The sequence below is a fragment of the Homo sapiens genome, chromosome 13 (genome assembly GCF_000001405.40).
Source record: "Homo sapiens chromosome 13, GRCh38.p14 Primary Assembly".
Lineage (NCBI taxonomy): Eukaryota > Metazoa > Chordata > Mammalia > Primates > Hominidae > Homo > Homo sapiens.
The window spans coordinates 99,647,072-99,660,680 of NC_000013.11; the positions used below are offsets into that span (position 1 = coordinate 99,647,072).

Consider the following 13,609-nt stretch of genomic DNA (forward strand, 5'->3'; position numbering starts at 1 on the left):
CCATCCATGGTGCTCATGGGCCTGAGGACCACTCTGCCCACACCTAAGGGGGGCTGGGTGGCCAGTGTTTGAAAGGCTTATAAGAAAGATCACAAGAAGTTTCTTCTTGAGAAATGCTACAGTCTTTAAAAACAAAACAAACAAAAAACTACTTAGAATTTTGATAGCCCCAGCTCAAGAAAACAATAGGTAGGACACAAGCTTGTTCATAGGCAGCAGAGAGGTCCAAAGCAATGTGCCTCAAATCAAGACGTGTGGCTCTGAAAAACCTTCTTAGGGAAGGCTCCCGCCCCACCTAGAGCTTCCCAATTCCATAGTATCTAAGGCCTTGCAAAATCTACATCTGTCACACGCCCCCCCGGCCCCGCCCCCCATCACAACTCCATAGTGGGAAGAACTTATTTCAGTGCCTATTTTTCTTGAGGTTTATAAAAACAAAATGTGTGAAGGGAATGTATGCTGATTCTCTTGGGACTAATTAAACAAACAGATTCAGAGAAAGAAAGCAGAGAAGATTTAGGACAGTTAAAATGTAAAAAATGTAATTTTGGGGATAACAGCCGTCAATTTTTCCACTCGAGTGTTTTTCCAAAGGGCAGAGGGCAAGAAGCATCTTAAGTCCTCTCGAAGCTGAGACACATTTCAACTGGAGATATTAGAAGCAAATTTGGTGCCCAAGACAGGTGCCAGATTTTAATTACAGTTGGCATTTCTGAGCATGCTTTTGGCAGAGGTGGCCATCTTGTTGGAAAAGCCATAGATTTTGACACTAGCAGTATGGGTGCCCAGTTGAGAACGATTGCAAATAATTTCCCTCCTATTTTCATCTTGTTGGTTGTGAGAGAAAACTTCAGTGGCTAATATTTAAACAAGATATTCTCTGTTCAGAGGAAACAGTTCATTGGAATTGTCTTGGTGGCTTGGTGTGTTGGCTCTGGGGGTAATAATTTCTATCTTAAAGTCTTTAAAACCAGTTAAAACAATAAAATAGGATATTTCATTATGAGAAATGAAGTTGGCATGCACCAGGTTTTCCATTAAGTTCCAGGTCACAGACAAATAAAGAAAGTATGTTCGGGGGGGAAAAATCCTTTTTAAAAATAATTAGGGAGCTGTCTGTTTTGTTCACCAGATGGAAAATCCGTAGTTGTGGGTGGTCTGTGTTGGAGAGGGCATCTCACAATTGGCAGGACTATGCCTTTAACTTTTCAAGTCCTCGGACAAAAATCTCAACGCCATGGACTATTCAGAAGGCTCCGAATGTTCATCAGTCCTTCCAGGTCTGCTTTTCTGAATTTTACCAGTTTTCTAACAAGAGTGTGTAAGCAAAATGATTATGGAATGCCGAAATAAATAGTCCATTGTTCGTTGAATTCTGAAACAGCATTCCTGCTAGCCCTGGTTTTTTGTGACTTTTCTTGCTGTCAATACCTTATGATGATAATCTGATTAGTGGAGCTGCCTGCGTTACTATTTAAAGGCCCCTTTTTCTTACATTTCTGTGTTCCAGAGTAGATAGGGCAGCCAGATGTGCTAACAGCATAAGAAATCATCATAAGCTTGTTATTTATTGAAGATGGATATTGCACTGTTATCAGTGTTTAGGGTCTTTTCTACACTTGCTTTGATTCTGGTCAAATTAATTCAATAAGAAAATGTACTTTTCTTACTCCTTTCTTGAACTGATAATAGAATGTTAGCTACCTAGTGTCACTAGTATTTTTTTTATCTACACATCAAGGTATCATTTTTTTCTAGCTCAGTCTTATGTTTTACATGGCTTTACATCTGCAAGTTGGACTTTGAAATGAATATTTTATGTTTGAACATAAGGATATATATATTTTTATATTTCATTCATACATTTAACCCATCCCCAAAATTTTCTTAAAAAACTTAATAATTACAGGAGATGTAAATTAATAAAATCATCTAGGATGCTAAATGCATAAACTTTCAATTGAGTGAAAAAAAGCCCTGGAACGTAAATCATTTTTCTCGGACAGCCAATGTGTTTGGCTTTGGATGTACATCAGATTCTGCCTGTGCATAGTAAAAATGGCAATGATTTATTAGTTCCATCTCCCCCCAGCACAGATGCTGCACAGTCTGTCCCTTTTCTGGGCACTAAACAGTGGGTTTTAAAAAACATAATTTCACTCAAGTTTTCCGCTTGCATTCTGTGTTGTACTATTAATAGCAACCCTTTGTTATTCATGCCAGCTCGCTTCTAGCATAAGACAATGATGTGGGGAAACGGTTTTAACTAAAATACTACTAATTGGCACCCATTTTTCATATACTGGTGCAGGTGCAGTTCTGTGAGGAATAGAAGCACCTCTAAAAATTATGTCATGAAGATAGAAAAGCTAAACAGTTACACAGTTAAGTAGGTGTACCTTTGCAATGTCATTGTTTCTTTGAAAAATCTTACTTATTTGCCGATAAGTTGAAGGGTGGGGAAAATTTGGAATATTGATGGAGGACTTATGTGTTAAATGTTCTATGAGTCCACCAGGCGCTGTGGCTCACGCCTGTAATCCCAGCACTTTGGGAGGCCAAATCACGCAGACTGCTTGAGCCGGGAGCATGAGACCAACCTGGGCAACAGAGCGAAACCCCATCTCTACAAATGATACAAAAATTAGCCACATGTAGTGGTGGGCACCTGTAGTCCCAGCTACTCAGGAGGCTGAGATGGGAGGATCACTTGAGCCCAGAAGTTGGAGTCTGCAGTAAACAGTGATCATGTGCCACTGCACTCCAGCCTGGGCAACAGAGCAACACTTTGTCTCAAAAGAAAAAAAAAAAAGTTATATGATGCTTCATGAAAAAAAAAGAAAGTTTTCAGCCTGAGCAATATAGCAAGACCTCATCCCTACAAAAAATTTTTTAAAAATCAGACTGGTAGGCCAAGCGCAGTGGCTCACACCTGTAATCCCAGCACTTTGGGAGGCCGAGGCGGGCGGATCACGAGGTCAGGAGATAGAGACCATCATGGCTAACACGGTGAAACCCCATCTCTACTAAAAATACAAAAAATTAGCTGGGCGTGGTGGCGGGCGCCTATAGTCCCAGCTACTCGGGAGGCTGAGGCAGGAGAATGGCGTGAACCCAGGAGGTGGAGCTTGCAGTGAGCAGAGATTGCGCCACTGCACTCCAGCCTGGGCGACAGAGCCAGACTCCGTCTCAAAAAAAAAATCAGAGTGGTATGGTGGCGCACACCTGTAGTCCCAGCTACTGGGAAGGCTAAGGCAGGAGGATTGCTTGAGCCCAGGAGTTTAAGGCTACGGTGAACTATGGTTGTCCCACCGTACTCCAGCCTGGGTGACAGAATGAGACCCTGTCTCAAAAAAAGAAGTTTTCAAGAGGGGAAGAAATAAGAAGAGTGTTAGAAACCTCAGTTGCCCATCTACTTTCCTCTCCTTGCCCAGGGTGACAGAAACTGTTGCCAAATTCTCACTGGCAGCAACTTGAGTTTTGATTTGGCTCAGGTACATGTGCTCTTCTAGAGAGTAAGGTCAGCACAGAGGCTGCTGGAGGGTGCTGGAGGCTGCCTCCATGGACTCTAGCACCACCTTTCCTCGTCCTGTAGCTGAAATCCTTGGAGTCATTCTTGCCTCCACTAGACCCTTGGATTCTGTGCATCTCCACATGGCTCCCAGCCATTGTGGCTCTTTTTTTCTGGGACTCTCCTCTCTCCTGTCCATCTTCCAGAAGTAGCTTTCTGAACACAGACGTCATTGCGCTCCTCTCCACAAGCAGCAGTCACTCTCAACACTGAGGAATGAAGACCTTACAGTGTTCTTTACACCCTAACCCAAGATTACCTTCCCAGAATCATCTTCCTACCCCATGTCTCTGACCTTCCAATCACATTAAAATTCTCAGGGTGGTGAGATACTCCAGCTCCTTTCTGTCTCTGCCATGGCTCATGCTGCTGCTTCTCCCTACAGAGCCCTCCTCTCATCTTCCTTGAGATCTTGCTGACCAAATATCTTCTCTTCTGATGACTTAGCAGTCACCCACACTGCCGTGGGCCAGCAGACACCCTTCCTCTGCCTTCCAGTAGCTTTGCCCAATGTGATCTCTGCTCTTTGTACCCTGTGCTGTCTCCCATGTTAGATCCAACCACCTAGGTCATAGCGCTACTGCTGGTACCTGATTGCAGGCCCAGCATCTGTCTTGGTGCCAAGCACATGACAAGAACTGAATAAATAGGCCAGGTGAGGTGGCTCACGCCTGTAATCCCAGCACTTGGGGAAGCCAAGGCGAGTGGCCTGACGTCAGGAGTTCTAGACTAGACTGGCCAACATGGCTAAACCCCATCTCTGCTAAAAATACAAAAATTAGCTGGGCGTAGTGGCGCATGCCTGTAATCCCAGCTACTTGGGAGGCTGAGGTGGGAGAATCGCTTGAACCCAGGAGACGGAGGTTGTAGTGAGCCAAGATCACACCACTGCACTCCAGCCTGGGTGACACAGCGAGACCCCGTCTCAAAAAAGAATTGAATAAATATTTTTTGAGTGAAATGGAATTCTGGGTTGTGGCTTTCCATCAGTTAAGATTCTTGGTTGTGGCCAGGTGCAGTGGCTCACGCCTGTAATCCCAACACTTTGGGAGGGAGAGGTGGGTGGATCATGAGGTCAGGAGTTTGAGACCAGCCTGGCCAACATGGTGAAACCCCGTCTCTACTAAAAATACAAAAAAATTAGCCAGGCCTGGTGGCACGTGCCTGTAATCCCAGCTACTTGGGAGGCTGAGGCAGGAGAATTGCTTGAACTCGGGAGGCAGAGGTTGCAGTGAGCCGAGATCATGCCATTGCACTCCAGCCTGGGCGACAAAGCAAGACTCCATCTTGGGGGGAAAAAAAGATTCTTGGTTGTAAGCAACAGACACCACATCTGGCTTTGGCAAGAGGGGGTTTTCCTGGAAGGATATGGACACATTCACACCGTCGGTGGAAAGCAACTGTAGGCATGCCGACATGAATCCTTCTCCATTGTGTCCCTGCTCAGCCACGAGAACAGTGTGCTGCCAGGGTGCTCAGTCTGTAACTCTGCTCAGGATGCAGGCTCCAGGGAGGGAGTGTCCAACTGGGCTAATAGGGCCCACCCTTTGGCTCTGGGAGAGCTGGGCTCCTTGATGATAATCCCAGCACACTGTCAGCTGTGGGTAGGATGAGGCAAGTTCCTCAGGGGGTGAAGTGTGTTTTGGGATAGTCAACAGCCAGTGACTGTTCACCACAGGACTAAACCTTCCATTTCCAGTGCTCCAGTGCCCCAACTGGCCTGTCTGGTGTGATTTGCCAAGTGTTCTGAGCAAGCAGGGAAGTTGTCCATTAAAATACAGATATTGGCCAGACATGGCTCACACCTGTAATCCCAGCACTTTGGGAGGCTGAAGCGGGTGGATCACTTGCACTCAGGAGTTTGAGACCAGCCTGGGCAATATAGTGAGACCCTATCTCAATTAAAAAAATAAAAAGCAGATATCCTGGGAAGGGATAACACTATAGCCCCTGCTAGCCAGCATTGATTTGCCAAAAGTAGGACCTGTGGGTGCAGGATCCAGAGTAGCCATGGATGGATGAGGTGCGAAAGGGTCCCGAATGTTCCAGCAATGCTACCCAAATGGCAAGTGGTGTCGTGGCCTCTTTCACCTCCATACTCAGGGAGAAGCCACTCAGAGGCCTCCACATAACAGGCAGGCTCTCGCCTGGGTGTCGGAGGTGAGGATGCTACTGAAGCTTATTGCTTCTTAAGAATCAATCAAATCAAAACAATGGATGCCCTTCTCCCAAGTGGAAGGGCTGTGCTGGCCACCTTGTATGACTGACACAAAGTTGGGAAGAGTTGCAGTCATGAGCTGGGGAGACACACCCTAAAAGCAGATGAGCTGGTGGCGGTAAATAACACTCCCATGACGACAAGTGGGCTTTGCACGTGTGTGGTAGCAGGGCATGGCCCTGGGGGAGGTGGGGCTACCTGAGGAAAATCACAGGAGGCAGGAATGTATACTGTTTGTTGGGAAAAGACAAGCCAATCTGAAGGGCAAGGGTTTGTAGAGGGGAGTGGTGGAGAGTGAGGTTGGAAGGGTGTTTGGGTCCAGTTGTAGACAGCCTTGAATTCTAGGCAAAGACTTCAGATGTTGTTTTCTAAGCACTAGGAGCACCTGTGGATGTTTCAGAATGGGAGTATCATGATGGATGTACTATTTTTTAAAGAGCAGGAATAAGCAGCAGGCCACTGCTAAGGAATCTGTGTCATGAGGCTGTTAGCCTGGGGACAAGGAGGACCGGCCAAAAAAAAAAAAGTCCTGTATATAAGGGGGAGCACCCAGCACACTTAGGTTCCAGACCTCCATTCCTAGCAACTCACCTGTAACTCCTGGCAGGGGTCTCTGCCTCCCTCTACTCATCCAAAGATCATGGTGCTTGTTCACCAGCCTTATGATGATCCAAAGAAATAGTGATCTTTCATGTTTAAATAAACCTACTTAATTACGTGCATCTGTTTGGAAATTCAGACACACCACATGAGAAGCTACTGGGACTTTTTTCTCCTTTTCTTGGCTTCTCATTTGTTCTCTAGCTTTTTCTTTTTTTTTCATCCTGGCCAGTTATTAACCTTCTCCTCCACTTTTGAGTCTCATAATTGTCCAGATCTCCCAGGACGCTGACAGTGTGGTTTTGGTTCACTTGTTCCTTCTCCTGCTCAAATTTCAATTGATTCAAGGGTGATATGCTGGGTATGATGGGCTGGACATGCCCATTTTCATTCAACTCATCCATAACTAGGATATAAGTGAGGATACAGATTTGGGTGTTATGGCCAAAAGATCTTCAAATACAATGACTTTATCAAGGATAATTTCTTCCCCCCTCACTTGAAACATGGTTAGGTGGTGCAGGGCTGATAACGATGGCTCAGTGAGGTCTCAGGCTCCTTTAGCTATGGTTCTGCCAACCTCAGCACATGGCACACATCTTCCCCAAGGCGGCTGCTTGGTTTGCTCCCACCACGTGGGGTAGGGGGACACATGCCTTCCTTTATGGGGACACTATATTTCTGCTCACCCTGACCACATCCCATCAATCAGAACTTTGACCCATGAATACACTCAGATGCAGGAGAGGCTGGGAAATGTTTTCCTTAGCTGGGCATCCATGGACCTCTCCCTGGGTCCATCCTAGAGAGTGGAGTAGCAGCATTTGCACCCCAGACCTGAGGGGTAGCTGAGGCTGGGCTGGCAGTGGGGAGTGAGGCCAGGAGCTTGGATGTGCAGGCTGGCATGTCCCACACATATGGGGCAAAGAGGAGGGGCTGGCTGGGGCTCGTGTCCTCCTCCGTACCCTCATCCCAAGCCCCAGTGCGGTAGGGTGGGCTGCTCCAACCCAAATCTTCTTCTCCCAAGTCTTCTCTTTCCCAGCATATTATGCTGCTTCCATTTCACCATAGTTTCACTCACTATCAAGGTCTCCAAAGCAATCCCATCATCTACATATTACTTGATTGTTGTGTACAGGGTATTGGGTGAAAATGAAGGTGGGCAGAGCACATAGCCTCCAACCTCAAAGCCAGTAATGTGCCAGATGAAAGGTAAGTCACAGTCTTTAGATTCAGTAGCATTTTAACAAAACTAAAATGTCAGGCCGGATGCCGTGGCTCACGCCTGTAATCCCAACACTCTGGGAGGCTGAGGCGGGCTGATCACGAGGTCAGGAGATCTAGACCATCCTGGCTAACACGGTGAAACCCTGTCTCTACTAAAAATACAAAAAATTAGCTGGGCATGGTGGCGGGCGCCTGTAGTCCCAGCTACTAGGGAGGCTGAGGCAGGAGAATTGCTTGAACCCGGGAGGCAGAGGTTGCAGTGAGCCGAGATCGCGCTCCGAAGTCCATTCTTTCTGTGCAGTGGCTGATCTATCAGAAGAAGAACCCCCTTCCCCACCAGGCCTAAGAACCCATGGGAGTGATGGCCCAGCACTATGGTGTTGCATTTCTTTCTTTTTTTTTTTTTTAGACGGAGTCTTGCTGTGTCATCCAGGGTGGAGTGCAGTGGCGTGATCTCGGCTCACTGCAATCTCTGCTTCCTAGGTTCAAGTGATTCTCCTGCCTCAACCTCCCAAGTAGCTGGGATTACAGGCACCTGCCATCATGCCCGGCTAATTTTTGTATTTTTAGTAGAGACGGGGTTTTACCATGTTGGCCAGGCTGGTCTTGAACTCCTGACCTCAGATGATCTGTCTGCCTCGGCCTCCCAAAGTGCTGGGATTATAGGCGTGAGCCACTGCGCCTGGCCTGGTGTTGCATTTCGTTACTGGCAAGATGATGTATGCTCTTTCACGTGCCCACATGCAAAGGTGTGACTCATGGAATGAAGACAGCTCAGCAACCTCTAGTTGCTGGGACAGAAATGCAAGTCAGTGGGCTCTGGCCTTTCTCCCAGGCTGTGTTGCCACCTTGGTGGCTGGAGGGGCGCTACTAGGGGGTGTGCTTGGCAGAGCCTGGGGTGGCGTCCTCTTTCATCCCACTAAATAACACATTGGTGGCTTGATCTGCCATGAAGCTGACAATCAGAGCAAGTATTTGAAGCCTGGGAAGCTGTGTGGGCCTTGCTTGTGGGACCTGGTGTCAGCTGATGACGTGGCCCTGTCTGGGTGCCCGTGAGTCAGATGGCAGGGATGGCCTGACATCATGAACACTAGCTCCACCTACGTCACATTGGACTTGACTCTTTACAGAGCACCTAGGAAGAGATATTGATGAGTGAACCATTGCCCAGTCATCGAGTTAATTATTTCCCCCCAGAAAGGTTAACATACTGAGGACAGAGAGGGCATGTGTAGGCGGCAGGGCGCACTTTTCATTTAGTCTGGTTCGCAGGTGCGGTCAAGACGATTCCTTATTGTCTTGGAGCCAGCCCTTTTAAGCCTTCCTGCACAGCTCTGTGACAGTCTCGCGGGGAGACCTGTGAGGCCACTTTCCTTTTTTCCAGACCCACCCCCACCTTTGAGATTATCACTCTTCCTGCTTTGTTTTCTGAGGCTTTTTGGCTTTTTAGTTTATTTGTAATTAGAGCAGAAAAGGTACAGTAATCGGATAGAAGGGTTGGGAGTGATAGAATGAGCCAGGATGCGGTGGAGAAATGGGGTGGAGAACCCCCAGACCTTAGGGTGGCGTGTTTGTCAGGGAGTAGACCAGGGTGCAGTTCTAGGCAGACCACTAGATGGCACTCACACATTGGTGTTCAGTCGGGTCCACGGCACTTTCCACTTTGGGCTTCTGTAAAATCTCCCCATGAACTAGCCAAAGCTTTGTATCTGTCATCCCGCCATTTGTCCCTCTAACCTCTCTTGATCGTCTACAGATAGGTATATATATATGTTCCTCTCTAGTTCATTTTTCTCTTAACATTTAGTGACCTTAAAAACCTGGCAGAAATACCTTCAAAGCCTCCCACCTTGTTAGCTGCATTGCCGCATTTTTACTGTTCTCCTAAGCCAATGTTTACATGGCAGTAAATCCATGTTTAGAGTAGGTAATAGAGAAACCTGTTTCTCTCTCAGTCACTCTGAGGGTATGTTTGATAAAGAAATGGAAATTGAGAGGATGAGTTATTAAAAGGATTAATAGGTAACAAATTTTTTTAAAATTTCCATTCAAAATTATGGGTTGGTAAATTGTAAGATACTTAAAATTAATGAGTTGTTTTATCAAATCATTTTCTGTTGTTAGAGAATTTTCAGCAAGCTGAGATTCAAATGCAAAATGTCTTATTGCATACTGCTGGCTCTAGGAAGGAGGAGGGACAGACAGGAAATCATGGTTGATGTTATCTTTACCAAGGTGCATGTGGTGTGAAAGCAAAACCCCATCTTAAATTCATCATCCGTTCTGATGTTGCACAGAAATGAAAATTAATTTCTATATGTCAACTAAAATGGATTCTGCTCCTGCCTGGTTCAATTCTGTCTTAGCTGCGTGGACATCTTGGGGAGCTGCTCTGATGGTACATGCAGACGTGCTTCATCTGTGCACTTCTTAGCTGAGATAACAGTGCTCCGAGCCCCACTGTTAAGGTTAACCTGTATACTGCAGAAGGACAACAGATGGAAATTCTGGTTTGCAGCCACTGCAGAAAAATAAAAACATGTTCCAAAGGGAAAAGGATCTTGTATTTCTGCGTTTGAACCTTTGATCCGCATTCACATCTGAAGGGAGGGCTAAACCTTTTGGTGGAGACACATGGCTTTGCATCTGTGAAAACACAGCTGTATAGAGCAAAACAAAACTAGTGGAAAATACAATGGTTTTGCTGTGTCAGGCTCACCGCTAATGCTTGAATTCTATATAAATATTGTCTTTTGATAGTTCTTTCAAAAATCTTTCTTGACTTTCCATATAATTGTCCAATAATGTTATTCTTTTAAATTCAGATTTGGGGCTTTTTAGGATTAAGGCACAAATGTCTCTTTTCTTTTAAAAAGGCAGTAAAATAAACAGATTGTAGTTAGATCATAATAACATCTAAATTTTGACCTAATTAGAGGGGGAGATGGGGAAAAAAACTCTTTAAAAGAAGATTAAGGTAAAGTTCTAACTTTATCCTTGATTCTGAATTTTTTTTCTTTTTTGGAAATATTGCATACATTTTATACTGCAAGTTACAATGTGAAGGGCCTTTGAAGCACTCTAAAGAGACTTAGCTGCTTTGTTTTGAGCAATTAAGGTTTGTTATTGAGTGAATTAAGCAGCTCTGCTGTGGCTCATCTGTAAATAGTGGTCTTCAGCGAGTTTCTTGATCCGCTTTTCCCAGGAACAGAAGCCAAGTCGGCTTCCTTAGGAGCTGCTCGCCCTGAGTCTCCATGTTTCCTCGCAGTCCGGGGCAGAACCCAAGCCCGTGCCTTCCTCGCCCTGCCTTCGGAGTTTCCTGCTATTGACCTGGCGGGGCGCGCCAGCCCTCCCTGCCCGCTGGTGCCGCGGTCCCTCTCGGCTGCAGCAGTGGGGCACAGGGACGTCATGGACAAAAGACGAGGATGCCAGTTCGATGTGCGAGCAGAAGGCCGCCTGCGTGCGCTCTGCAGAGCAACCGGCCCGGTTTCATAAGGGGCCGCCGGCAGGGGACTGCCATGGCGCCCCCTCCTACCCTTTTTGGCACCAGCAGCTTCATCCGCAGGCCCACTCGGGGTGAATAGTGTGGGAGCTCTCAAGAGAAAGAATTTTAGGTTTGTCGATAGTAATCACCACCTTCAGCGCTCCTCCCACTGCTGGAGAGACCGCGGACTGGGTGACAAGTCTTCCAGGCTCCCAGAAAGTTTCTGCTGCAAAGCGCAGGGTCCGCCTCCCACTTCCAGGAGGGACCAGGAGGGAACCATCGCGAAACCCCGAGGCTGCCGGGGACTCTGACTGAGGCCTTTCCTCCTGTGTCCCTCTCCCCCACGCCGGCCTCCCCTCCTTTCAACTCTCTGCGCTTTGAAACCGCGGAGTTGGGGTAGCTAGGCCCTCCAGCCCGGCGACAGGCCTCGGCCACAGGCAGCGGGGCGGGGTGTGGACAGGAACAAGGAGGTGGGGTGGGGAGGAAGCCTCGGGCAGAGCAGGTTCTCTGCGGAGTTTCGGCAGCCGGGTTTATCCATTTTGATTAAAGAAAAGTAAAAAAAATCCCCCAAAACCAAACAACAAAAACCCTCTCCCAACCCCCAACCCGCCTCCACAGCTGCATTTTGTTCCTGGGACTGTTGGTGTCACCAGAGCCTCTTTTTTTATGCAATCCTAGACTCCATTGCAAAGGACTTGTAAAGCCTATTAATTTTTCAGGCAAAACAGATCAAGCCTGCCTTTGATGCTGCTGTTTCCTAATTTAGTATTCAAAGGTAAAGAATCCTACTACCGTCTCTTCACTTTTTACATAATTAAAAGAGATTTTTCCCCCAGGGGCAAAGAACTAGTTGCTTAGTATTTTTTGAAGTGAAAGGTCTAACTTTATATCACATCTGTTTTTATGCTCTTTCCTAAACATAACCAATATTTACTCTTTGCTGGTACTTAGTTGCATGCTATTCACCCTTGCATTTTAATTTCTGACAGAGAGGGGATTAGTATTCCTCTTCTAAATCATCCTCTAAGCTATGTGTGTGTGTGTGTATATATATATATGTATATATATGCGTGTGTGTGTGTATTTCTCCTCTAACAAACTGAGAGTGCAATTTAAAAAACTGTAGAATCAGTGATTGCCCTAACTTGTGCATGACTCTTGATTTCACACAGGAGCATTCAAAAGTTCCGTTAAGTGGGCTTTCACAGGTTTCCATCTGCTGTGTTTAATAGCAAATTGCGACCCTTCAAACCACTTCAAGGCCTTTTGTGTTCTTATCTGTGCATTTCAATACTTGCTGGGGAAGTGCCTTCAGTTTCACTACATATGCAAAAAGCCAGGCTTGAATTTTTTGACACCCCCTTTTCATTTGTTGGTGGAGTCCTGTTTTCTATTGTTTGCTTGTTGATGTTGGCAAAAGTCATTTATTTAATGATGCCAGGAATACTATGCCCTATTCTTTATTGGCAGGAAATCCTAAAACATCCGGGAGTAGTTTAAAAATTAATGCATGCCGTTGAAACTTACATATTGGCATAGTTTTATTTTCCCATCATAAGGTAGATGATATTTTAAAGGTATTATATAGTAATAGTCACCAGAAGCCAATTAAAACCACTAGGATTCTATCAAAAACCTGTTTGGCGGCATAAATAATTGATATGTGGAAATAAAGCAGCATTCTCTGGGCAGGGGCCTCCTGTACAGACCTGGGTGGCGTTAGCAGTCTCTCTTCTGTGAACCAGGGGGCGATTTCTGGGCATAATATCACCTGGATTTAAAAAACTTAATAATAAGGCCACACACGCATTTTTAAAAAAACTTCCCTTGCCTGTGGAGACAGAGAGGAGATAGCGATGTTATTTTCAGGTGTTTGAGCTTCTTAGAGAAAAAGAAACAAATACCAGACTCCTTAGGAGCTAGGTGCGAATGGAATAAATTGAGGCACTCCAGCGACACATCCAGCTTGTTTTAAATGATGTGATTAAAAAGGACATCTGAGAACAAATTTATGAAGTTGTTATGGCAACTGAAATACTTGGATTGAAATGTGTGTATCTAAAACATGAAAGATTGCAGGAAGCCGGAGAAACAAGCAAAGCATTGTGTTTGGGAAAGGCAATTGAACAGTGGTAGCCAAATATTATTCCTCTGTCGGTCATCCTTCAGGGTAACTGCCTCGGTTTCCACTTTTAAAAACGTGTGGTGATTGATGCTTTCATGGACTCTGTTGCCCCAAGTCCCCAAGCCTTGTACCAGCGTTTGCTCATTGGTCCTTTGACCTGTTGAGAACACAATCTCTGTATTGTGTTCAATGCAGGGATGCATTTAGAGTTGCCCCTGCATCTACCCATTAAGTTTATACTCCTGTGTTCTCATATTAACGTCTGTGTTTGCGAATAGTCTCTCTAGTCTTTGATTCACTAACTCCCCCAATTCTAACCCACCAATGGCCACCAACAAACAGCCACACTCAAAGGACTCAACATATTTAAATATTCCCTAGAAT

General features: G+C 45.8%; 1 protein-coding gene across 10 annotated transcripts in view, besides 4 other annotated features; it reads left to right on the forward strand.

The window, feature by feature from the left end:
• Positions 1-13,609, forward strand: part of CLYBL (citramalyl-CoA lyase) — a 302,755-nt gene that overhangs the window by 40,382 nt on the left and 248,764 nt on the right. The window lies entirely within an intron of this gene.
• Positions 8,042-9,241: an enhancer, noted in NCBI's record as "BRD4-independent group 4 enhancer chr13:100307367-100308566 (GRCh37/hg19 assembly coordinates)". NCBI's record gives its function as "activates an origin of replication core promoter dependent on BRD2, P300/CBP, MED14 and CDK7 cofactors, and independent of BRD4, by STARR-seq in HCT116 cells {active_cell/tissue: HCT116}" and the evidence as "EXISTENCE:reporter gene assay evidence [ECO:0000049][PMID:35650434]".
• Positions 11,142-11,231: an enhancer, noted in NCBI's record as "active region_7956". NCBI's record gives its function as "activates an Ori minimal core promoter by ATAC-STARR-seq in GM12878 lymphoblastoid cells {active_cell/tissue: GM12878}" and the evidence as "EXISTENCE:reporter gene assay evidence [ECO:0000049][PMID:35858748]".
• Positions 11,242-11,291: an enhancer, noted in NCBI's record as "active region_7957". NCBI's record gives its function as "activates an Ori minimal core promoter by ATAC-STARR-seq in GM12878 lymphoblastoid cells {active_cell/tissue: GM12878}" and the evidence as "EXISTENCE:reporter gene assay evidence [ECO:0000049][PMID:35858748]".
• Positions 12,172-12,687: an enhancer, noted in NCBI's record as "OCT4-NANOG-H3K27ac hESC enhancer chr13:100311497-100312012 (GRCh37/hg19 assembly coordinates)". NCBI's record gives its function as "activates a minimal SCP1, AML or CMV promoter by ChIP-STARR-seq in naive and primed H9 embryonic stem cells {active_cell/tissue: H9 hESC(naive and primed)}" and the evidence as "EXISTENCE:reporter gene assay evidence [ECO:0000049][PMID:30033119]".